Consider the following 24885-nt stretch of genomic DNA (forward strand, 5'->3'; position numbering starts at 1 on the left):
TATGAATCTGGGTGCCCCTGTATTGGGTGCATATATATTTAGGATAGTTAGCTCTTCTTGTTGCATTGATCCCTTTACCATTATGTAATGCCCTTCTTTGTCTCTTTTGATCTTTGTTGGCTTAAAGTCTGTTTTATCAGAAAGTAGGATTGCAACTCCTGCTTTGTTTTGCTTTCCAGTTGCTTGGTAAATATTCCTCCATCCCTTTATTTTGAGCCTTTGTGTGTCTTTGCACATGAGATGGGTCTCCTAAATACAGCACATTGATGAGTCTTGACTCTTTATCCAATTTGCCAGTCTGTGTCTTTTAATTGGGGCATTTGGCCCATTTCCATTTAAGGTTAATATTGTTATGTGTGAATTTGATCTTGTAATTATGATGCTAGCTGGTTATTTTGCCCATTAGTTGATGCAGTTTCTTCATAGTGTCAATGGTCTTTATAATTTGGCATGTTTTTGCAGTGGCTGGTACCAGTTGTTCCTTTCCATGTTTAGTGCTTCCTTCAGGAGCTCTTGTAAGGCAGGCCTGGTGGTGACAAAATCTCTCAGCATTTGCTTGTCTGTAAAGGATTTTATTTCTCCTTCACTTATGAAGCTTAGTTTGGCTGGATATGAAATTCTGGGTTGAAAATTCTTTTCTTTAAGAATATTGAATATTGGCCCCCACTCTCTTCTGGCTTGTACGGTTTCTGCTGAGAGATCCGCTGTTAGTCTGATGGGCTTCCCTTGATCGGTAACGCGATCTTTCTCTCTGGCTGCCCTTAACATTTTTTCGTCATTTCAGCCTTGGTGAATCTGACAATCATGTGTCTCAGGGTTGCTCTTCTCGAGTAGTATCTTTGTGGCATTCTCTGTATTTCCTGAATTTGAATGTTGGCCTGTCTTTCTAGCTTGGAGAAGTTCTCCTGGATAATATCCTGAAGAGTGTTTTCTAACTTGGTTTCATTCTCCCTGTCACTTTCAGGTACACCAATCAAACGTAGGTTTGGTATTTTCACATAGTCCCATATTTCTTGGAGGCTTTGTTTGTTCCTTTTCATTCTTTTTTCTCTAGTCTTGTCCTCTCATTTTATTTCATTAAGTTGATCTTCAATCATTGATATCCTTCCTTCTGCTTGATGGATTCAGCTATTGATACTTGTGTATGCTTCACGAAGTTCTTGTGCTGTGTTTTTCAGCTCCGTCAGGTCATTTATGTTCTTCTGTAAACTGGTTATTCTAGTTAGCAATTCATCTAACCTTTTTTCAAGGTTCTTAGCTTCCTTGCATTGGGTTAGAACATGCTCTTTTAGCTCAGAGGAGTTTGTTATTACCCACCTTCTAAAGCCTACTTCTGTCAGTTCGTCAAACTCATTCTCTGTCCAGTTTTGTTCTCTTGCTGGCAAGGAGTTGTGATCCTTTGGAGGAGAAGAGACGTTCTGGTTTTTGGAATTTTCAGCCTTTTTGCGCTGGTTTCTCCCCATCTTTGTGAATTTATCCATCTTTGGTCTTTGATGTTGGTGACCTTCGGATGGTGTCTTTGAGTGGATGTATTATTCCTTTCTGTTTGTTAGTTTTCCTTCTAACAGGCTCCTCTGCTGCAGATCTGCTGGAGTTTGCTGGAGGTCCACTCCCGACCCCGTTTGCCTGGGTATCACCAGCAGAGGCTGCAGAACGGCAAAGATTGCTGCCTGTTCTTTCCTCTGGAAGCTTCATCCCAGCAGGGCACCTGCCAGATGCCAGCCAGAGCTCCTGTCTGAGGTGTCTGTCAGCCCCTACTGGGAGGTATCTCCCAGTCAGGATACACAGGGGTCAGGGACCCACTTGAGGAGGCAGTCTGACTCTTAGCAGAGCTTGAACGTTGTGCTGGGAGATCTGCTGCTCTCTTCAGAGCTGTCAGGCAGGAACGTTTAAGTCTGCCGAAGCTGCACCCACAGCCGCCCCTTCCCCCAGGTGCTCAGTCCCAGGGAGATGGGGGTTTTATCTATAAGTCCCTGACTAGAGCTGCTGCCTTTTTTTCAGAGATGCCCTGCCCAGAGAGGAGAAATCTGGCAGTCTGGCCACAGCAGCCTTGCTGAGCTGCAGTGGGCTCTGCCCAGTTCCAACTTCCTGGCTGCTTTGTTTACACTGTGAGCAGAAAACTGCCTACTCAAGCATCAGCAATGGCGGACGCCCCTCCCCCCACCAAGCTCAAGCGTCCCAGGTGGATCTCAGATTGCTGCTGTGTTGGCAGTGAGAATTTCAAGCCAGTGGATCTTAGTTTGCTGGGTTCTGTGGGGATGGGACCCACTGAGCCAGACCACTTGGCTCCCTGGCTTTAGCACCCCTTTCCAGGGGAGTGAACAGTTCTGTCTCGCTAGCATTCCAGGTGCCACTGGGGTATGAAAAAAAAAAACAAAAAAACTCCTGCAGCTAGTTTGGTGTCTGCCCAAACGGCCGCCCAGTTCTGTACTTGAAACCCAGTGCCCTGGTGGAGTAGGCACCAGAGGGAATCTCCTGGTCTGTGGGTTGCGAAGACCAGGGGACAAGTGCAGTATCTGGGCCAGAATGTGCATGGCTCCTCAGGCTCAGTCCCTCATGGCTTCCCTGGGGTAGGGGAGAAAAATTCCTCTACCCTTTGCGCTTCCGGGGTCAGCCAACGCCCCACCCTGCTTTGGTTCACCCTCCATGGGCTGCACCCACTGTCCAACCAGTCCCAATGAGATGAACTGGGTACCTCGGTTGGAAATGCAGAAGTCACCCACCTTTTGCGTCGATCTTGCTGGGAGCTGCAGACCAGAGCTGTTCCTATTCAGCCATCTTGCCAGCAATGATCTCATTCTTTTTTATGGCTGCATAGTATTTCATGGTGTGTGCATATACACACACACTCATATATATTTTATACACACACACACACGCCCCACATTTTCTTTATCCAGTCGTTTGTTGATGGACACTTAGGTAGGTTCCATGACTTTGCTATTGTGAATAGTGCTATAATAAACATGCAAGTGCAGGTATCTTTTTAATATAATGATTTCTTTTCCTTTGGGTAGATGCCCAGTGGTGGGATTAAGCTTAATCCTAATGGCAAAATAGAAGTTAGTCAGGTGGGGATGGCAAGTAGAAGAAATGTTGGGCAAAGGAGACTATGAACAAAGTAAGAAACAGCATGATATGTGCAGGCACCTGAGGGTAAAGTGTGAGACCAAAGGTGGTAGAAAGTGAGGTGTGAGAGGAAAGCAGGGATGGGGAAGCTGAAATGGGATTTTGTAAGGAAGAGGTTTTCAGCCTGGGAGTCCTAACTCACTGGGGTGCAGCCAAACAATGTGTTACTAATAATAAAGTGTTAGGTTTGTAATGGCTTTACTCCTTTAGAAACCTAAATTAGAGCAGATTCAAGGTTATCCCTAGAATATGGTGACTGTCCCCCACTGGCATTCCATATGCTTTCTTGAGAGAGAGAAAGGGATGGAGCGAGGGCTAGAAGCCAGTGCTTGAGCATAACTCTTTGTTCACCTTATCCAAGCAGCAAGCTAGTGGCTACAGTAGTAACAAACTGCTGCTGTGCTTTACTTCCTTACCAGGTCTTTCAGGTTTCATGAAATCTAAGTGTACCCAGAAGACAGTACACCTCTGTGCAAGCACATCGCCCATCTTGATAGTCACAGAGGATGGCAGCTGCGTAAAATGGGGAGCCATGGAAATGTTTCCATGCTGTGGGCTGTGTGCATTTTGTGGTGGCTCCTCTGGCTCCAGTGATTGAACATCCTGTGGGTATGGAAATCTCTGCTGCACACTCCCAGTGTACTTATATTTCAAATCAACTATATGCTTATTGCTCCACTAATATATTATATCTATTTAAAAACATTGTCCAAAATATAAACAGTAAAAGGATAAAATAGAAAAGGGATTAAAGCATTTAAAATAATTTTATTTACTTATAATAGACAAACCTAATGATTGAATACACCTAATTATTCTGTTTAAGTTTTGGTTTAATACTTGCAATACAGTGATTTGCAGGTCTTGTTCTCAGTGTATTTCAGTTCTTGCTTGTAGTGGCTGATATAGCTGGAAAAGGCCTTATAAAGATATGGAACTCCAAATGGAAGCACACTTACTAATCATGAGACTCCGTGCTCAATTCTATTAGTAATGACACAAATGTCTTTGATGAAATTCAAGTTGGTAAATATGTTTCATCCCTGATATCAATCAGTTGTTCTTGCAGGCTAACTGGAAGAGATATGTACTTTTTGTCGTGTTAACAAATAGTTGCCGTTATCTGCTGAACCTCTTTTCTAAAAAACGTAAAATAGGTTAGTAAATGCCAAGCTTTTAAAGTGTTCTGATACCCATGTGTGTACACATGACCCCCTTACGTTATTTTTGGCAATAAAATCACAAGATGATGGAACCATTTTTAAACATCTATTTTTAAAGTTCTCTTCGATAGGGGTTTCTTTTGAAAAGTAGTTATTTTTTCATTCATTGTTAAAATGTTATCTTTACCTTGAGGAAACTGAGTAAGTGTATTTATTTTTTAAAAAACAACTGCAAGATAGCATACTGAGGATTCATCAAAGAAAAGGGCAGCATATGTGGAAGAAAAAATATGCCTCTTACTTAAATTTGGCAATTTGAAAATTGGCCTGATTGGATTTTGGAACGAGTGAGAGAAGGGAGTCCAGGATAAATTCCTAGCTTTCTAGCTTGGACAACTGCTTGAATGGTGGTGTCACCAAATGAAGTAGAGAGAGGAAGAAAACAGGAGCCAGTTTAGGAAGATGATGAAAAAACAAGTTGAACTGGTAGTTGATGAGTTCAAGTGCCCACAGGACTTCCTGCTATTATTTCATGCCTGACATACTGAAAATCAAACTCATCCTTGGCTTTATGTCCTGAATTTACATTTTCTCTCTGTTCTCCTATCTCTGTCCATGGCACCAACCTCTCTAGGTACTTAAGGGTAAACATGTTGGAGCCATATATTGAAACGGGAAAGGTTCCCTTGTCCCCCTTGCAGGGCGTGCAAGGGGCGTGTGGCTTGCTTCTTCAGTGCCCCGCTCCTCAGAGCTCTAGGGGAGCATACAGACTGGCAGGCTGTGGGGCTCCGACCCCACGGCAGTGTCTAGGGGTAAATGTTTACAGCTCCTCAAGCCCCAGTGGGCATGTGTTAAAGGGTGCTCTCTTAGTTTGCCGTCTATAGGCAGCTTGCGTTAACCAGCTCGATGAACCTTGTGGCAAGGGCAGAGGGATTTCCATATCCCAGGGTTTCTTGCCTTGATGTACCGGAAGAATCGGATCACACATGGGCTTGGAGAATGAATGCAAGGTTTTATTGAGTAGAAGTAGCTCTTCGCTGATGGACAAGCCAGAAGGGAGATAGTTTTCCCCTGGAGTTGGGCCGCTGGGTGCCCTTGCTCTCCTCAGAGTGCCCTGGCTAAGCTCCACCTCGACCTGCAAGTCGATGGCCTGCAGTGTCTGTCGGTGTGCTCTTCTGCCAGCATGCTCCCCTCGATGTCCTCTCGCCATCCAGCCACTTGTGCCTACTTCCAATGACGTGTTCCTCTCGACGTCCAGCCACCTCTCTCTGCCTCGCTAGGGTCTCAGGTTTTTGTAGGCCCAGGATGGGGGTGTGGTGGGCCAGGGTGATCTTGGGAAATGTAACATTTGGGCACATAGGCAGAAGTGCCTGTCCTCACCAAGGTCTGTGGGGGTGAAGCCCTAGCCAGGGACCCGCCCTCCTCTACCCAGCACTTCCCTGTCCCTCTTCCGTATCGTTTAAAGGGAACACACTCTTCCCTTCCCAGCACTCCTGATTCATCCTTCTGTTTCCTTCTCTATCCAATGAGTAACTGAGGACTTTCCAGTTTTATTTGTTCCTTCTATATGTATTTATTGAGCACCTCCTGTGTGCCAGGTACTCATCTAGGCCCTGGGAATGTAAGTGGGCAGAAGACAGACAGAGTGCTGGTTGTCATGGAGCTTATATTCCAGGTGGAGAAAATAGATGATAAATAAATATGTAAACATGTAAATAAGAAACTCATGAAATTTTGTTAAGTGCTCAGTAAAGAATTGAAGCAAAGTCATATAATGCTGCCTGGATGGCGCTATAGATGGGGTGGGCACAGAAAAGCTCTCTGAGGTGGTGCCATTGAATGGTGAGCTCTGAGTCCTTGTACTATCAGGGGAAAGATCTTTTCGGGCAGAAGGGCCCAAGCTCTCCATGAGCACAGTGAGTTGTAGGAACAACGGGAAAGCCAGGATGGCTAAGGCTTGGTGGTGGTGGAGTGACCCAAAAGTTATGGCTTTTCTTGAATCACTGCTACTCTGTTCCCATGCTCACCACTTCATGCCTGGCCTGTTAAAATGTCCTTTAATTTCTCCCCACCTTAACTCTCTCCTTGAAATTATTTTGCACATGAGTACCTGGTTTGCCTTCACTATGCCGTGATAAAAAGCCATCAGTAGCTGGAAGCTGTAGGTTGGCCTTTGGGGGTCAGGAACACACATACACAGCTCTTCAACTGGGGCTCCTGTGAGGTTTCCAAGAGGCTTCGGGAGGAAATGAAGTCTCTTGTTACCCTCTCATGTTTACCCACCCTACATATTGGTTTTCAATTACTCTTGTAACAAATGACTACAAACTTCGTGGCTTAAAACAGCATGGATTTATTCCCTTACAGTTCTGGGGCCAGACATCTGAAGTGGGTCTTATTAGGCTTAGAAGCAATGTCCTCAGGACTGTGCTTCTTTCAGTAGGCTCTGTGGGAGAATCTGTTTCCTTACCTTTCCCACCTCTAGAGGCTGCCTGCGTTTCTTAGCCATGGCCCCTTCCTGCATCTTTAAAGCCAGCAGGGCAGCCTCTTCCAGTCTCTCTCTGACTCTGACCCTCACTCTCTTGCTTCCTACTTTCACTTATAAGGACCCTTGTGATCACGTTGGGGCATCTGGATAATCCAGAACAGGAAAATCTCCCCATCTCAAGGTTAACCACTGATTAGTAACAATATACTTCATATATATGAACAGAAATGTACATATGTATACATGTCTATGTTATATTACCATATAAATATCATATCTCATGTGCAAAAAGAATGCATTCACAGGTTCTGAGGATTGGGATGTGGGCATCTTTAGGGGTTCATTATTCTACCTAGCACATCCTGCTTCTTTGATGTATTGGGTTTTATCAGATATTTGTGGCTCATAAGGACTTCCTTCAAATGGAAAGGCCACTACTAAGACTAAGAGGAGGCCTATCATGGAATCTCAGTAGGAGATTGCTTTGACTTTGTGAACACGGTGGAGCTCTGCCCATCAATGAGGCAGGATTACTTGCTTTTCCTGCAAGGGCAGCTGAATGTGGGATGGTGGGAATAGCAGTAGCTATTCCCTTGTATATTCTATCCAAGGCTATTGGCTATTCTATGCTTTGGGTAGAACTCGAACAGCAGAGAATATTTATTTATCTCATTTATTTTCTATCCTGATGGAGAGGTGGATGAGTTGGCCTTTAAGGTGCCCCCAGTCTTGAGAGTTTATTATTTTCCTGTCTGATGAGATGGCCTCCAAGACAAAATGAATGGCTGAGGGATATGGAATAGGAAATCACGTTAGGTAGCATAAGTGCTAACCTCTTGAAAGAGATTATTAAATTTAATTAGTGGACATATTCTGTCTGCTCCACACTTGAGAATTTATAGGAAAAGAGATACCAGAACGCTCCTTAGTGAGACATTCTTTTGTTGTCTTCAACCTCTAAGTAATGTCTACCTGCCAGAAAAGCTATTCTTTGGCAGGAAATGCAAGTAAAATCCCATTATATTGATCTCCATTGGACAATGACCATATGTACTGAATTTCTGGAATAGTTCTCATTTCATGTATTTTATTCTTTTCAATAAGGAATTAATTAAATGTATAACTAAATGTAATTTAATTTTATATCTTGGTAAGACATTTCATACAAATAATTTCACAAATCAGGAAAAGATTTTCTGTCTTTATCTTAGTTTTTATTTTGGGCAAATGCAATTGAACATCTATTTTCCTGGTGGTGAAATTTTTTGCCTGGATAATTATACTGCTACAAAACACCCGTCATCTGTGGAGCTAAAGACAAACAAAACTTATTTCCAGTCTCTGTGTATAAGCAGCAAATTTGTACCTGGTAATAAATTTACCTTGAAAAAAGTAAAAGAAATGAAAAAAAAAGAAATGCTAAGAATAATGACATCCAATGTGTATCAAATACTCACCATAATGTAGGCACTGGAATAAGTACTTTACATGTATAGCTTTGTTTCAGTTTTAAAAATGAAAGCTCTGTGAAGTAAATATGTTCTCCCTGCCCTTATTGTAGAGGTGGAGGCTGATAGGGCACTTGGAGCAAAGTTGTCCTAACAATGTACAGAGTTAGAAAGGAGAGAATTGATATTTGGGTTAATTCACTGCGTCAACCCCAAGCCTTTCTTCCTCTAAGCATCCTAGGGATAGATAGGTAGGTTTTGAGGGAGGAGGTGTGGTTGGGGTGACTGAAGTGGAATTACGGTGATGGTCTATGAGAATTAGAGCCCTTGGACTACAGAGAGAACCAAGAGTTTCTCAGCAGATCAGGTTCCAAGAACCTCGATGTCTGGGGCTGCAGAGTTCTTGCTTTGACGTCTTCTGTGATAAAGATCTGGTCAGTCATTCCAATCTGCCCTATTCCAGAAAATGGCTCACCATCCATGCAGCCACTGAAACCTAAGCTAGGAGTCATCTGAAATTCTTTTTTTTCCACCTCAAATCCTATGCATCAGCAAGTTCTGGGCTGTCCTACTACAAAATACATCTAGAATCTGGTTCTTCTATTGTCTTAAGTTTGTTTGTGCAGCTAAAACAAAAGACTACAGTTTGAGCAGCTTATAAACAATAAACATTTATTTCTCATGGTTCTAGAGGCTGGAAGTCCTGCATCAAGGTGCCAGTAGATTTGGTTAGGGCCCACTTTCTGATTCATGGATGGCACCTTCTTGCTGCTTCCTCACCTGGTGGAACAGGCAAACGAGCCCCTCAGGCTCTTTTATAAGAGCACTAATACCATTTATGAGAGCTCCCCACTCATGACCTAATCACCTCCTAAAGGCCTTACCTCTTAATATGATCATATTGGGGATTGGATTTCAATGTATGAATTTTGGGGGCCACAAACATTTGGACTGTAACATCTGTCCATCCTAATGACTGTCACCCTCCCAAAGGTTCATCTGCTCTCTCTCCTGAACTACCACAACAGCTTCCTAACCAGCCTCCCTGCTTCCACACAATCCCACCCCAAAGTCATCTTCTAAAAACATAAATCAGATCAAGCTCTCCTCTGCTTGACCTTTGTCAACATCTTCCTTGTGCCCTTAGAATAAAAGCCCCACCTCCTAGCATGGCTCACAGGCCCCAAATGAACTGGATCCTGTCTGTGTCTCTAAACTCATATTGTATCCCCTAGGTTCTTTTCCACCTCAGGGCCCCCACCATCCCCTCTACTGAAATCACCTTCTTCCTTAGGTATTTAACATTAGCTCTTCAAGAGGGCCTCAGACAAGCATGCCTCCACGTGCATCCCTCAAATACTCTGTCACATAACCCCTTCCATTTTTTATGTGGCAGTTATTGCAATCTGTTATTATTTTGTTTGTAAGTTGGTTGTTCTTTTGTTTATCTCTCCCACTAGAGGGCTGGACATCATCTGCCTGAATCCTCAGAGCCTAGCACAGTGCCTGACAAATTAGGGGTTCATTGATTATTTGTGAAATAAATTATAGAATGCATCATGATGATTTTTTGAAGTATTATTATGCTCTTAAGGACAGGTGCATATATTGGATGCACTTTGGTATGTCTGTCCAGCTTGTAATAACACTCTTAATTGGGTGCCTGGAGTCAGAGGAAATGGCCCCCAGGAACATCTAGGTGCATGTGCCCCTGACCTCTGGCTCCAGTGGATTGGCAGCTGACCCAGATGGGGTCAACTGAAATTGCAACTCTGGTAATTTGCATTTGGGACTGGAGAGAAGTATGGTTGGACTATGAGTCCTCAGGAGACCTGGGGCAGTCATGAGCTCTGCTCTATGGGCTGGGACCAGAGAAGGCTGGTGAGCAGAGGAAGAGAGGAGACTGAGCAGATGTGCAAAGAGAAAGGGTGACGTGAGACCCAGGGAGACAGTTGGGATGGATTTCCAGTATCTTCTTGCTGCTCATCTGACCTCCTAGCCTTGGGTTGAGGAAAATATCACCTCCCTGCCCTCCAAATGCCATTCCGGGGTAAAGCCAGTGTGTTAAGGACGCTTCGGTCCATTTGACACTTTGTGAAAACAAATTCACCATTTCCATGTTGGTTCTGCTTCAGCACACATTGCTCCGTGCCACTTTCACCTCATGTGATGATAGATGGCTTGCTCTTGAGCTGGAAACTGTGTGTAAGTGACAAGGTTTCTTGAAAAAGAAAATGGAGAAAAAGAAGTGAGAGGTGAACATCTCTGTGGCATCCCCTGTAAGGAGAGAGGGCCGTGAGCTATGAAAAAGCAGGTGCAGTAAGCCGGGGAGCTGGGAACGGGAGACTCAGAGAATATAAAATGTCTGGTTACAAGATATGAGTTTCGAAGCAGCAGAGTGAATCTCCTCAGGTGATGGATCATTATGCTGAAATCAGTCTTCACAATGGAAGACAATGTTAGCAAAAATGAAATATTCCCTCTGAACCAGGGGTTTAAAGTATAGTAGGCCACTCCATGGTAGTGACAATCAATGTCAACTCAGTTTAAGAACATACAATCTTCTCTTAGCCTGACCTCATTAAACCTGATACTAATGAGAGACTAAAGTCCAACAGCCATGCATGGGAGTTTAATATTGCTACAATCACAGCGATTCAAAAGTCCTTTATCAGCAAAGGCATGGGGAAAAACATGTTGGCTTCTCAGCATTGCAACCGGCTGTAAAGTATCTCTCAACGAGTCCACCAAGGTGTGAAAATCAAAAGCCCAGCAGGAGCTATTTATATTGGAAGATTATTAGGCATTAGCCGCACAGAGGAATTGCCTCAGAAAATGCTGCGCCTGACTAGATACTTCCATGGTAAAACCCAGAAAACACTGAGCTCTCCAGAATAATTTTCATTCTTACAAGAACGTGCACCTCTGCTTGGAGTGTCATCTCTCCTGCCATGTGTGCCTGGACAGGCTGGGGAGGGAAAGTGGACTCCAAGGACATGGGGGAGTTGAATATCAGTTAGTTTTGTACACATCAGCAGACCTCCTGCTACTTCCACAACAAGGACTTTTAAAACCTGAGGTAAGGCTGGTATATACAGTTCATGTGTGCTTATGAAGACGTGCACAAGCATGGCCTGGAGAAGCGTGGCCCCAGGAAAAGCTAGGCATCTGCTCTGGCATCCTGGCCCTGCTGGAATAATAGCCCCAAGTTTTGGCTGGGGCGAGTCTGTTTGCCAAAAGAGAGGTTTTAAGGCCTAGAGCAGTGTTTCCGAAACAGACCTCGACTGGGTGTTAGTATGTGTAAGGAGATAAAAGGATTACATGGGCAATGTCTGTGAGATACTGAGCTAAATAAGTTAAATTAAAAATTAAAATGAATGCATGTAATATTAATGCATACAAAAAATTTACACACACACACACACGCACGCACACACACACACAATAAAGAACAATAAAAACCCAGCTTAACAAATACACTACCAATCCCAGAGAATCCCCTGGTTGCCCCTTTCTGATTGTAGCCTCCTCTTTTCCCCAGAGTAATCAGTATTCTGAATTTTGTGTTTGAGTTTTGTTTTTCATAATGGTTCTACTATAGGTATATAAATATATATCGTTAAATAATATATTTTAAATTTGTATATGCTTTTGGGCTGGGCATGGTGCCTTATACATGTAATCTCAGCAAGGTGGGAGGATTGCTTGAGGCCAGGAGTTCAAGACCAGCCTGAGCAACTTAGTGAGACCATATCTCTATAAAAAATTTTTGAAAAAATATTAGCCAGGCATGGTGGCACATGCCTGTAGTCCCAGGCTACTCAGGAGGCTGAGGAAGGAGGATCACTTGAGCCCAGGAGATCAAGGCTGCAGTGAGCCCAGATGGTGCCACTGTGCTCTAGCCTGGGTGACAGATCAAACCCTGTCTCAAAAAAAAAATTTTTTTAAAAAGCTTTTGAATTAGCTTTATAAAAAAGCATGCAGTGGATATTCTTCTAAGACTTGTCCTTTATTCCATTCTGTGTTTCTGGACTTCATCTCTGTTGATAAACATAGCTGTAGTTCATTTTCATTGCCATTATTCATTTTGTTTATGAACAATTCATTTGCCATTTAGTGTCTGATTAATATTATTTTGGCTTTGGTGTTTTGCCATCACAAACAATGGTACTAGGAACTTTCTGGTAAACGTTTTTTAGAGCACATGTACAAGAATTTCTCTAGGGTATGTATCAGTGGGTGTGAGGGTAGGTACATCTTCACCTTTATAGGATAAACCAAATTGTGATCCAAAGGGATGGTTCTAATTTTCATTCAGTCTAACAGGCTTTAAATGTCATTGCTCCGTATCTGCGTCGACACTTGGCAGTGTCAGACTTGAATTTTTTGCCCATCTCATTGTGATTTTGGTTCTCACCTCCTTTATTACTAGTGAATTTCAGCATCTTTTCATATATTTATTGGTTGTTTGAGTTTCCTCTTCTGTAAATGCTATTATCCACATTCTTGCCCAATTTCTAACTGGGTTGTCTTTTCCTTATTGACTTTTAGGGGTTCTTTATGCTTTCTTCATTGTAATTCTTAAGTTACGTATTTGAAAAATTTTTTCTGTCAATTTGTGATTCATGTTTTCACTTTCTTAATGATGTTCTCTCATGAAGAGAAGTTTTACATTTTAATAGAGATGAATGTATCAATCTTTTATGTTATGGTTGTGCTTTTGGGGTCCAATTTAAGAAAGTTTCCCTACAAGAGATTAAAAATATTGTCCTAAATGTTTTATAATCTTGCTTTTCCCACTAAGTCTCTAATCTCTGTTTTTGTGCGTAGATTTCTTTACAAACTCAGGACTTCCCTCAGTTGCCAGTATGCATTGTGGACCCCCGCCCCCTGAAGGAAGACAGAATACAGCATTTTTCTGTTGTATTTGGCCTTGGATTTCTTTTTCAGAGGCATCTCTAGGGATATCTTAGAACATACTCTGGGAACCACTGTTCTGTAGAGTAGAAAAAAATTAAAACTCACTTTCTACCTACATTCTTGACTGATTCTGGGATCCTGAATCAATTGCTGGGTCAATCGTTTGTGATTTGTTTTACTTATTTTGAAAATAAAGACCTTATTACCTAAACTAAAAGATAAAAGACAATATAATTATTAATATGCATAGAGAACAACAGCTAGAGTGAAAGTATTAATGTGCAAAAAGTGTTAAAATTATGTGCGTCTGTGTGTGTTTTGTTTTTTTTTTCAGACAGGTCTCACTCTGTTGCCCAGGCTGGAGTGCAGTGGGACGATCTCAGCTCACTGCAACCTCTGCCTCCTGGGCTTAATCGATTCTCATGCTTCAGCCTCCCGAGTAGCTGGGATTACAGGCATGTGCTACCACGCCTGGCAAATTTTTGTATTTTGGGTAGAGATGGGGTTTCACCATGTTGGCCAGGCCGGTCTCAAACCCTTGACCTCAGGTGATCTGCCTGCTCAGCCTCCCAAAGTGAAAAATATGAATGTATGAATATTCTCCGTCTCTTCATTCTACACCACTTGCTTGGGGATAGGAGTGTTGCATGGAAGATTTTTGCCTGCTGGATTCCCCCTAGGCTTTTCTGGTGGAGAATCTGGGGCATAGCTGTATGGAAGGAAGGCAGAAAGCCAAAATGATATATGCAATAAAGAGCTTGAGGAGAAGAGGTGGTACACAGGGGATGGGGGAGAAGACAGATATAGACAAGCTTTAAGTCCTGAGTGTTGGAGAGGGGTTGGGTGGAGAGTTGAGAGGGAGGAGTTGATAAAGAGGCTCCAAAACAACCACATGTGAGAATGTGAGAGTGTGAGAGAACTTGAGAGGTACAGTAAGGGGGGGACTATCAGAAATGTGCTGTGAATTGGCCAAGCATATGGCTCATGCCTGTAATCCCAGCACTTTGGGAGGCTGAGGCAGGCAGATCACCTGAGGTCAGGAGTTCAAGACCAGCCTGGCCAACATGGTGAAATCCCGTCTTTAGTAAAAATACAAAAATTAGCTGGGCATGGTGGTGGGCACCTATAATCCCAGCTACTTGGGAGGCTGAGGCTGGAGAATCGCTTGAACCCAGGAGGTGGGAGTTGCAGTGAGCAGAGATCACGCCATTGCACTCCAGCCTGGGTGACAAGAGTGAAACTCAGTCTCAAAAAAAAAGAAAAAAAGAAAAAGAAAAAAAAGTGCTATGAATTATAAATTAGATCTCTTTTAATACTCTTTAAAGCTACAAATAAATTTCAGAATAACTTTAACTTTCAGTTGCTGGGTTTCTTTTTGTTGTGTTTCTTTTAGTGCAACAACACAGGATGACTAACCAGTTAGGGTCCCAGATTTTATAATATTCTTTTATACACATGACTTTAGCTCATCATAATGATACTCCAGTGAGATACATAGGGGAAATGTTATTTACCCCTATTTAATATCTGAAAATACTGACTTAGAAAAGTAAAGTTACTGACTAAAGACAGTCTGAGGGTGGTTAGGATTCAAATCCAGACTAAGAAATGCAGTGTCTGTTTTCTTTCCACTGCACTATGCAGGCTGCAGGGAAGACTCACATATGATGCTCTTTGCAAAAACATTCACACAAAAATCAGCCAACTCTAAATGAAATGGCAACTTTAAATTATTTGGACCTAATAATCACAATTTCTTAAGAAATGCTATTCAAAGATTCCTAGGGAAAAAAAACCCTATCATATATAATTTACTGAGATAATTTTGTTTAACTCAGCACTTGTCGGTTTAGCTTACATAATGCTGACCATACTTTTTAAGTGTAGGGGACATTTCCATAGATAAGAAGAGTAATTTATTCACAGATTCATAGGCATATAGTTCAACCTTTTCTCTATATTCCTAAGAAATTGATGACATGATGGCCTTGGGAGAGATAACTCAAAATTTGTATTCAAAAAAAAAAAAAATTAAAAAGTTAACCATTCCTAACAGGTCAATGAAATCAAACCAGAAGTCTTCATTTTTTGAGGAATGTACTTATTATTGTGGCTGACAGTGGGTCTCATTTTTCCATTTCACAAAATATGTATGTACGCTAATGTGAACTCCCATTTCCATCTTAAAACTGGAAATGAACGTAACTTTATTTCCCGATATCACAGGGCACTGACAAAATATTTCAAGAGCAGGAAATATTTGAAGTGATGATTATTATTTTAGTAGCATAAGGTCTCTTCTACTTCTAACAGTTAATTTTCATCACTTCCAGCTGAAGTTATAGATTTGCCCCCGTCCCCCCTTTTTTTTTTGATTGCTGCAGGTTTTTTTTTTCTTCAATAACGTGCTGGGGAGTCCATTTCTTATAGTAGCACCATCTTGGCTGCAGTGTGTGTCATTCTGCAAGCCCAGAGGGGTTCTTAAACTGAAACTTCCTTCTTGATAGCATTGCTGTCAAGAGTTCTGTCATCTCCTCTAATGAATGGAGTAAACCTGTGAGCATACACACCAATGAAAAATATATAAAGTCAGATCTGTGGTCCCAATATAATAGCAACAAAGATGATTAATTGTTTGTTTTAATGAGGTAACTGGTATTTAATAAGTTATTGATTTTTCTTAGCATCTTACTAAAATGCTTTGGAATGTGAACAAATCCTCCACTCATATAAGGCAGTATATAGATTAGGTATGAATTCATACATTGGGATTCTAGATGCTCTGTTATCTCAGGGCCAGGGCGTATTACCTGATTAGTATTGATTGCACTGTGGCCATCAGTGAATTCTCAAGGCATCGTTTTTAGTCAAGGAAGAATGTTCGGTGTGACCCTGAAATCACTTTGCAGCAGATCCAGAGAAAGTTAAGTTGTTGATGATTCAGTGCAAGTTGCTATGGCTTTAACTCATTGAACTGGATTTAATTTGTACCCATGGCTTCAATATTATTGTTATGCTCAGGAGATGTTCTCTGTTGATATTCTTTTACTTTGTTTTTCTTATACACTTTTCTCTGCCTGGTATAATTTTTCTCCTATTTTCTGCTTTGCAAACTCCTACTCACGCTCCAGGACCCAACTCAAAATTCATTACCTCTGTGCCCTTGTTCCTGATTCCCTTGGAAGATTTTGTCTCCTGGGTCTTCTCATCATCCTCAGTTGTAATGACACTTCATATAGAGTGATAAATGCCAGTAATTCAGTAATTATGTCTTTATATCTTCTCCCTCCTAAACCATGAGCTTCTTTTGGACAGGGCTGTAGATCATCTCTTACCATTGCTTATTCTTGTTGGAGCCCGCTATCCAAGAAGAAGGTTCACAGCTAGCTATGTGTAAATGCTTGCTGCTGTTACACATTTGGTGGATATTTCTTTTCAACACTCAGATTCTGAAACTTCTGGCCCCATAGGATGTAAATGGGCTTTCAAATCCTACGTGACCAGAAGTTTCAGAATCTGAGAAGTATGGGCACCAAGCACTTTGTGACTTCTCCACCACCACGATTTCTGTGGCTTGTGTGGGTCACACTCTGCTAAACACTTGAAATACAAAATCGCATTAATTTCTCACTATGGAGCAAGATCATTGTTATGTTCTCCATTTTACAGATAAACAAAGTGAGACAATAAATAATTTTTTTCAAGGTGACATCACTAGTAAATGGTGGGTCAGGGAGTCAAACCCCGGTCTGTCTGACTCCAAAGCTGTATCTACAAAGTGTACATGAGACACTCTGGAAAAGGCCCACCCAAACCAGGAGCCTGAAATTTCACCTGTAGAGATTAACTTTGAGGGGTCTTGAAGGCTTTACAGAAGCAGCAGGGATAAGAGGGTAGAAGTCATTAATGAAACACACCCAAATGAAATAGAGTATTCTAATACACCAGAAATAGTTGATGAACCCTCATACTTTAAGTTCTTTCCAACTAATTTCTTAACACAGAGCTGATAATTAGAAAAAATCTTTCCTTTAGGAATCATTCATATGGGAAAGAGACACAGAGCAGAGAGCCAACAAGGTGCCACAAGAAAGAGTGTCATAAAGGAAAGTTAAAAAATTTAAAAAATAAAACAAACAAAAACAAAATCCAAAAAGGAAAGTAGAAGACACTAAAGACCAACGGTGGAGGTTAATGGTGGGTGTGGGCAGTGGGAGCAGATCATGCTGGAACAGGCAATAAGAGGTGCACTGCCTATGAGAATTTAAAAACAACAAAACCCACTAAAAATCTGCTGTGGTGACCCTTAACAATGTCAGTGATAAAACACTCCTTCCCAAAAGGGTGGACCACTCCTGCCAAGCCCCACCTTGGTACACGCTGGTCCAACTCTAGGTTATGGGTCTCGGGATTACACCTGCTCTCCATACCAGAGAGAACTGCAGAAGCATCTGAATTCTGTTGTTTTTGCTTTTATAAAGACTCTAACCAGCACTGAGGTAATGGACTACTTTGAGTAGATCAAAATGAGGTGGGGAAATGTGATCCCCAGCTAGAACACTGTAGTGATTTCCTCTTGGTACTGTAATAAATCATCACAAACTTAGTGGCTTAAAACAACGCAATGTATTCTCTTACAGTTCTAGAGATCAGAAGTCTGAAAGGGTCTCATGAGGCTGAAATCAAGGCATTGGCAGGATGGCATTTTTATGGAGGCTGTAAGACCGATTTCCTTACCTTTTCCTGCATTTAGAGGCTGCCTGCATTCCTTGGCTTGTGTCCCCCTCCTTCATCTTCAAAGCCAGTGGTATAGCATCTTCCAGTCTCTCTCTGACTCTGACCCTCACTCTTCTGCTCCCTCTCATACTTATCAGGCCCCTTGTGATTCCGTTGGGCCACCTGGTAATCTCCCTATCTCAAAACCCTTAACTCAATCGTATCTGCAAAGTCACTTTTGCCATGTAAGGTGCTGTATGTACAGGTTCTGGGGAGTAAGAAGTAGACATCTTTGGGATGCATTTTTTCTACCTACAATAAGTGTGTTAGAGTGGAAATTAGAGATAAGGAGACTGAGTTCCAATCTCCACGCTGCCATTGAGGAGGAACGTGCCTTGAGGCAAATCTCAACTCCCGGGCCATTGTTTCCTCCTGGTCCCTATGTAGACCCCGTTAGGATATTCTCTTTGAGAAGTAATGCCTTTTCCTAAACACAGGGAGATATGGCTCCTGCTAATTAAAAGCCAGACCTGTTTTACACACTTACAAACGACACCCTAGCATTTGTTTAAGGCCACTTCTGAACCATGCCATTAGTCCTTCTAATGGCGTTTCTGCAGGTTCTCAGCTGATTTCTGCTTACCATCCTACATTTACTTACACCTTGCCTACAGAGCGTGTAAGTTTTCAATTTCTCATTTTAAATAGAGGACTCCAATTCTATAGCGTGGCTGATGCATTAAATATCCACAGCCAAATTGCTTAACGCCCAGGTTTTTTATCCCCTTCAAATTAAAGCTTTTAAAACACCCAGACTCCATGCTGGCTGAATGACATACACAGACTTTCTGCCGGCTCTGGGGGGCAGGCGATACTGGTTCCTGTCAAGTTCTAAATCTGGATGCTTTTTTATAGTGGAACAACTAAAAGGAATTGCTGCCTTATGATATATAACTACTACTTATTATAGATTGATCCATTTTGCAGCAGGGAGGTGGAAGGCAGGGAGCTGTAGGAAGAACAAGAACCAATCTTAGACCTGAGAGAAAGTAACCTTCTAATTGCCTTTTCCATGACAGCATCGTAAGCTTCTTTCTGGCAGCTTTATTTCACAGTGACCTGCCACACTGCTGTAATTTTCCTGGTGTCACTCATACAGGTTTAAAAAATGATTGGTTTTATGGCTTTTATTTGGGAATTTGTCAAGGTTTCACATTTGTAGAAGCCTTGAAGCAGTGGCCTAATAGTCCATAATTTGGTGTTTAAAGGGATATTGGTGGGTAACCTGCTTGGGCCCACAGGTGCCTACAGTGATCGCATCCTTATGCCTAGCGGGGAAATCTCCATAATTTCTGTTACGCTCCTGTAATCCTTTGCTGTCAGAAAACTCCATTCCAGGTTCCAGCGGACTCCAGTCATCCTGAGATGGGAGAAAACCTTTCAAGCTTTGTGATCAGGTTGATATTTAAAGCTAATTCTCATGAAATGTACTTCAGGTGTTCATAAACCCAGACTTGGGTCAGCGTATTCTGGCGATAGGGATTTACGTACTCCTTTTATGACTCACAGTCTGGAAATGAAAGTGCTGGACTCTGAGCTCTCTCTCTCTCTCTCTCTCTCTCTCTCTCTCTCTCTCTCTCTCCGTCTCTCTCTCTCTTCTAGGATCTCAACGCTGCCAACAGATGTTTTTAAAAGCCTCAGTTTCGAGGACTGTTTTGGCCTCCTGCCCCTGTGTGTACTCCTAGGTTTAATGAAAATTGGTGCCTCCGGAGCTCTCCTCCCGGGGGGGAGAGCAGCTCCTCTCGTGGTGCGGTTGCTTGTTCTCGCAGCCAGAACACACTGGGCCAGGGCTGTTGTGTGTAAACACACACACGCACACACACCTGCTTCATCCCGGCTCCCTTCTCTCCGAGTTGCCTGGGTTGGCCTCCATTTGGAGCCTACCTGCTGGTGTTTATCACAGTCGGTGTTTTCCCCCTTCCATGTTCCTCAGCAAAGCTGGTGCTTATCTGAGCAGCGGGCGATTTTTCTGAAGTGACCTCCGCCGAGCGGGAGATTTATGGTGGCGTTTGCTTTCATTATGTGTGGAGGCTGCCTCGTGAGCTCGCTGCGTGGCTGTCGGAGGAAGAGCAGAACGCTTCCCAGAATAAGCCTCCGGTATTATCTTTGAACATATGTTCTTGATTAAATGAGAAGAGGAAAGTCTCTTCGTTTTTTCCTATTTGGAGGTTAAAGTGGAGGGTTTCTCTAAAAACAGATTGCAGTAAATTGTGGGTTTATTTGAACAGTATGTCAACATTATTTACTCACGGTAAAAAAAAATCTCAAATTGATAGGTTTCTTTTAATTACCTCATCCTGAAAGCTGCTCTCAACAAACAGCAAATATTTCAGAAGCCATTTGGATAAGTCTGGAAATGTTGAATTATTGGAAACCTGCCGAGAATAATACCTTTGAAAATGTTTCCATAGTTCTGAGTATAAGAAAACTTGATTAGCAAACAGCTTGTCTCTGAGCAAACTGGGTATTGCCTTCTGTGATCTTGCTGGCCTCGTAAAAGATGGCTTGCAAGATTTTTGTGTAATACTGATCACACCACCCTGGAAAACAGGTACCTTTCTGGGGCTCGTTATTATTGTCTGTCACTCAGACTAGAGTGACCTTGTTTAACCCCACTACAATAATATCTTCCTCTTGAGTTCTGTCCAGGAAACACAAAAGCTAAATGAAAGAAGATTCAGTAATTGAGTTCTCAGCAAGTCCAAAGAGCTCTTCTAGCAAATCCAGGCCAAAACATATTTGACCAAAGAATGTTCTTTGACTTCATTGCTCGGTCTCAACTAGATGGAAAGATGGGCTGCTGGGCAGAATCATTCCTAGAGCCCAAACCTGTTTGAGGATGGGGTAATTTTCCTGGTGTCACTCATGCAGGTTTAAAGAATCTCAAAGCTCCTAACAGATGTTTAGGTGAATGAGGTAGCTGAGAGAAAGACAGAGACTCATATGTAAGCCAAGGACCCTTATACACATACACCCTTAGGCTCATGTTCTTCTGTAATTTTCTTTTGAGAATTGCTTGTGATGTTTGCCTTGTGTATGCATGCGTGTGTGTGTGTGTGTGTGTGTGTGTGTGTGTGTGTGTGTGTTGAAGGGATGGATGAGTTGGCAGGGGTAGGGGGTATGGGGCCTATAAATGAGAGATTGGGGTGGGTGGATTGGGGACCTACACACTATGATTCAGTGTGGGCCCCAGGTTCCCAGGGCACATCCCATACTTTGGGTAACATTTCCTGCACCAGCATATAAAACTGAGTTTACTCCTTGGGATACTTCTAAACTGAGTATCTCATTAAGAGTATTTCATCTGAAATGGGCATATGCAGGCTTGATTTTAGGACTGCTGTATAAGCTAGTAAAATGTACTAGTTGTTAATTATTGAAATATCCATTAGTTGGTAAATCACTGCATGAGACCCACTGAATACTCTACACCACCCCAAGTGTACCCTGGCCTTCACTTCTAGGACCTCCTCCCTGGCCTCCTCTAAATCCAGGAACTAAAGACTTAATGGCCAGCACTTTGGGGGACCTCCAGGGCCTGATTTGGCACTACAACTGGCCCTTGAACCTCATCGGCAGACAAGAATTCTGAATGTAGGCCCCGGGTATATGTACAATTGTCAGGAGCCTGAGCCTCAGAGCAATTCTCCTGGTGCCTGCCCAGATGTGGACCCTCAAGGCAGCCAGAGCTCCTAGCTCCCTTGACCATGGCTTGGGTTTATATAGAGGAGGTCAGGCAACAGAGACTTGCCAGGGCAGTGTTCCCGGTCATGCCAACAAAAATCACTTTTTAAAAGAAGTTCTGAGCCATTGGGAGATCAAAGCTTCTTTCTTTCTACCCTTGCAAGTCATTTCCTCCACATACCAGTGTGGAATCCAGCAGCCTTCACTGTGGAGACCAGTGCAGAAACAGAAGATGTAATTCTAGTCCCAGCTCCAGCACTTAATACCTCCATGACCTTGGGCAAGGGACTTAACCTCCTCACACTGCAGTTTTCTCATCTGTAGAGTATTGATGTTTGACTCAATTCCTTCCAGCTGTAATAACAAATAATTTTGAGTCCTTAAATTTATGTTTACTAGCCCATTCACCCACCCTGTCAATGGATATGCCAGTAATCTTCAAAAAGAAAGATATCATCTGCTAACAAATAATGTTTTGAACACAAGTTAAGGTAAGAATGATGCCAACTGTCCAGTGCAGTCTGAACAAGGGCACTGACATGCACAAGATGAGGCTGGCTTGCCCCCCTCCTGTTACCACATCAGTAAACACATATGAGCTCTCCAGCTGCACTCGGTTGATGGAGCATCACACTAATGGGGCCATGACCATTGATTCAATTCCTGCTCACTTAAAGATAATTTTAACCATCTTTAAAAAACATGTTGTGGCTTATAAAGGGCCCCTAAAAAGTAGGTTATTTTCCCTATTAATAATAACAGGTCAATGCAAATCCATTATTATTATTAGGGGAAATAATCTCAACATATAAGCATCAATTACATAAACTTCAAAATTAAGGTGACATTACATTATTAATGGTATGTATTTGGAATGTTTTTCATTCTTGACTCATTTTGAGTATTGGTAGCTATAATTTATACATTATAACATTTCTTTAAGATTTTCTTTGGTTTCTCAAATTGTAAATTTTTTATATCTTCAGGGTAGAGAAGGGGAAGGAAAGGTTCCATCTCTTACTTTAGAATAAATATCAGTTATAACTTAGGAGCTAGTATACAGAAATGCATTTTGTAGATTTTTATTATCAAGCTCTTCACTACATGGAGATTATACTTCTTGATGTTACACTATAGGCATCAATGAAGATGACTAGGATAAAAATACGGTGATACTGTTGTTTGCAATTGGGAGGATTATTGTTTTAGACTTGTTAAGGACAAAAAATCAGTGCTTTTCAGAGAAGTTTGAGTTCTGGCCTGGCCTATGTGTCTACATGATTCAATGACACAGTCTTGATAGACAAAACAGTTGTGATGGCTTTGGGGGTCACTCTTGCTGGTTTTTAAGAAAGTGAATTCTGAATGTGGATTCTCTTCTCATTCACCTCTTTCATTTTGGCTTCCCTTCTTATCCCCGTAAACAAAAATGCTACTGGACTCAAACTCCCAGCTCAGTTTTAGGAATTGTGGCCACTTTTTTTTTCACAAGCAACACTGCAGACACTTATTTAATAAAATAATTTAAGCTGTGGAATTTAATACTCTTGATTTAGGAAACTGAGGATTTGTCCCTATTAAACATCCTATTTAAGCACTAAAAAAATGATAAATGGTATTTCCAGATGATGTACTACTTCAAGATCTACAAATAATTGCCAAAGTGCAACATGAATAAATTACTATTCCTTTAGCAATTTAACCTCTGTCAGGGTCTCATGAGAGTTTGTTAATTGTTGTTGTGTTAACATTTTAGGTTTTGTCCAAACTTTCTTATGATGCCAAATTTACTGACTCACGCCCTATTCTTCCTTACATGTGTGTAAAGGAGCTTTCAAGACCCGCTGGTAAAATTGAAGACTAATCCATTAAGGCTTAGCAACGAAGAAAGAATCTGCACCTTGGGAGGAACAGCTAAGTATCATGGCCAAAACTTGTTCCTGGGGTTCCTTTTTCCCTTGAGGGTTTCTTGCTTATGGTGCTGTTGTCCCCACATTAATCTCTGCAGAACACTCCTCCAATAATGTTTAATCCAAAGGTAAACTCAACTGTCTCCTTTATTTTCCAAAACACACAGCATGGCTGTGACCAAACTGGAACTATTTTTTTTTTTTAGGCAGGGTCTCGCTCTGTTCCCCAGGCTGGAGTACACTGGCACAATTATAACTCACTACAGCTTTGAACTCCTAGACTCAAGTAATCCTCCCACCTCAGCCTCCCGAGTGGCTGGAACTACAGGCATATGCCACCACACTCAGCTAATTTTTTCTGGAGAAGGGTTCTCACTCAGTTGCCCAGGCTGGCCTCGAACTTCAGGCCTCAAGCAATCCCCCCACCTTGGCCTCCCAAAGCCTGAGATTCCAGGCATGAGCCACTGTGCCTTGCAAACTAGAACTTTTAAACAAAATTTTTAGGCACCAAAAAGTTTGGGATAACAAAAGAAAACTACATACTAAGGAGAACATAAAAATGGACTATCTGGTTTGCAAGACTCAACTCTTAACTGTGTTTCTGCCTCTATTGGAGGAAATCATCAACCTCTACCACTTAGCCATAGGCCAGGTCCCAGAGAGTGATGAGTCTTCCCTTTCTATCTATCTCAGGCTCCCTTTTTCCATCCAGGGACCCCTTTTCCCTGGATAAGAGATAGGGGGAATGTCTGCCCCTTCAGCAGACATTCAAGCCCTCCTTGGCAGAGCCTTATTCTATGACCTCTGCAAGCTCAGGAGGCACCTGGATTGCTCAGCAGCCCCAGGAGACACACCAGAGCATAAGGGGTGTTGATGTTTGGGACACTGTAGGAAAGTCAGGACCAAACCCAAAATGCTTTCTTATAACGATGCTTCTTACCCTTATTTGTGTTTATAACATATTTGCAAATGTTAAGACTCTTATCAGTGTATTTGAAGAAATTAAAAATGAACAAGTCAACAACAATTATAAAACAATCATTTTGGTTGGGCGCCAGGGCTCAGGCCTGTAATCCCAGCACTTTGGGAGGCTGAGGTGGGCAGATCACTTGAGGCCAGGAGTTTAAGACCAGCCTGGGCAACATGGCACAACCCCATCTCTTCTAAAAATACAAAAATTAGCTGGGTGTGGTGATGCACACCTGTAGTCCCAGCTACTTGGGAGGCTGAGGCAAGAGAATTGATTGAACCTGGGAGGCGGAGGTTGCAGTGAGCCGAGATCGTGCCACTGCACTCTAGACTGGGTGATAGAGCGAGACTCTGTCTAAAAAAAAGAAATTTAAAATAAAACAATCATTTCTATAATA

At 42.2% G+C, this 24885-nt stretch overlaps 1 long non-coding RNA gene across 2 annotated transcripts, besides 4 other annotated features; it reads right to left on the bottom strand.

The window, feature by feature from the left end:
- Nucleotides 1427–2080: an enhancer, noted in NCBI's record as "H3K27ac-H3K4me1 hESC enhancer chr4:129456135-129456788 (GRCh37/hg19 assembly coordinates)". NCBI's record gives its function as "activates a minimal SCP1, AML or CMV promoter by ChIP-STARR-seq in primed H9 embryonic stem cells {active_cell/tissue: H9 hESC(primed)}" and the evidence as "EXISTENCE:reporter gene assay evidence [ECO:0000049][PMID:30033119]".
- Nucleotides 2081–2734: an enhancer, noted in NCBI's record as "H3K27ac-H3K4me1 hESC enhancer chr4:129456789-129457442 (GRCh37/hg19 assembly coordinates)". NCBI's record gives its function as "activates a minimal SCP1, AML or CMV promoter by ChIP-STARR-seq in primed H9 embryonic stem cells {active_cell/tissue: H9 hESC(primed)}" and the evidence as "EXISTENCE:reporter gene assay evidence [ECO:0000049][PMID:30033119]".
- Nucleotides 15339–20000, bottom strand: LOC101927259 (uncharacterized). 2 transcript variants are annotated; one of them, NR_187927.1, is made up of 3 exons: nucleotides 19809–20000; nucleotides 17886–18873; nucleotides 15339–15702 (listed from the first exon to the last, which is right to left on the bottom strand). It is a non-coding gene; the product is annotated as an uncharacterized LOC101927259 (long non-coding RNA). The 2 variants fall into 2 exon arrangements; NR_187926.1 differs by lacking the exons at nucleotides 15339–15702; nucleotides 17886–18873 and adding an exon at nucleotides 18954–19284.
- Nucleotides 19600–19789: an enhancer, noted in NCBI's record as "active region_21890". NCBI's record gives its function as "activates an Ori minimal core promoter by ATAC-STARR-seq in GM12878 lymphoblastoid cells {active_cell/tissue: GM12878}" and the evidence as "EXISTENCE:reporter gene assay evidence [ECO:0000049][PMID:35858748]".
- Nucleotides 19810–19879: an enhancer, noted in NCBI's record as "active region_21891". NCBI's record gives its function as "activates an Ori minimal core promoter by ATAC-STARR-seq in GM12878 lymphoblastoid cells {active_cell/tissue: GM12878}" and the evidence as "EXISTENCE:reporter gene assay evidence [ECO:0000049][PMID:35858748]".
- Nucleotides 20001–24885: the final 4885 nt, after the last annotated feature.

The sequence above is a fragment of the Homo sapiens genome, chromosome 4, assembly GCF_000001405.40.
Source record: "Homo sapiens chromosome 4, GRCh38.p14 Primary Assembly".
Taxonomy (NCBI): Eukaryota; Metazoa; Chordata; class Mammalia; order Primates; family Hominidae; genus Homo; species Homo sapiens.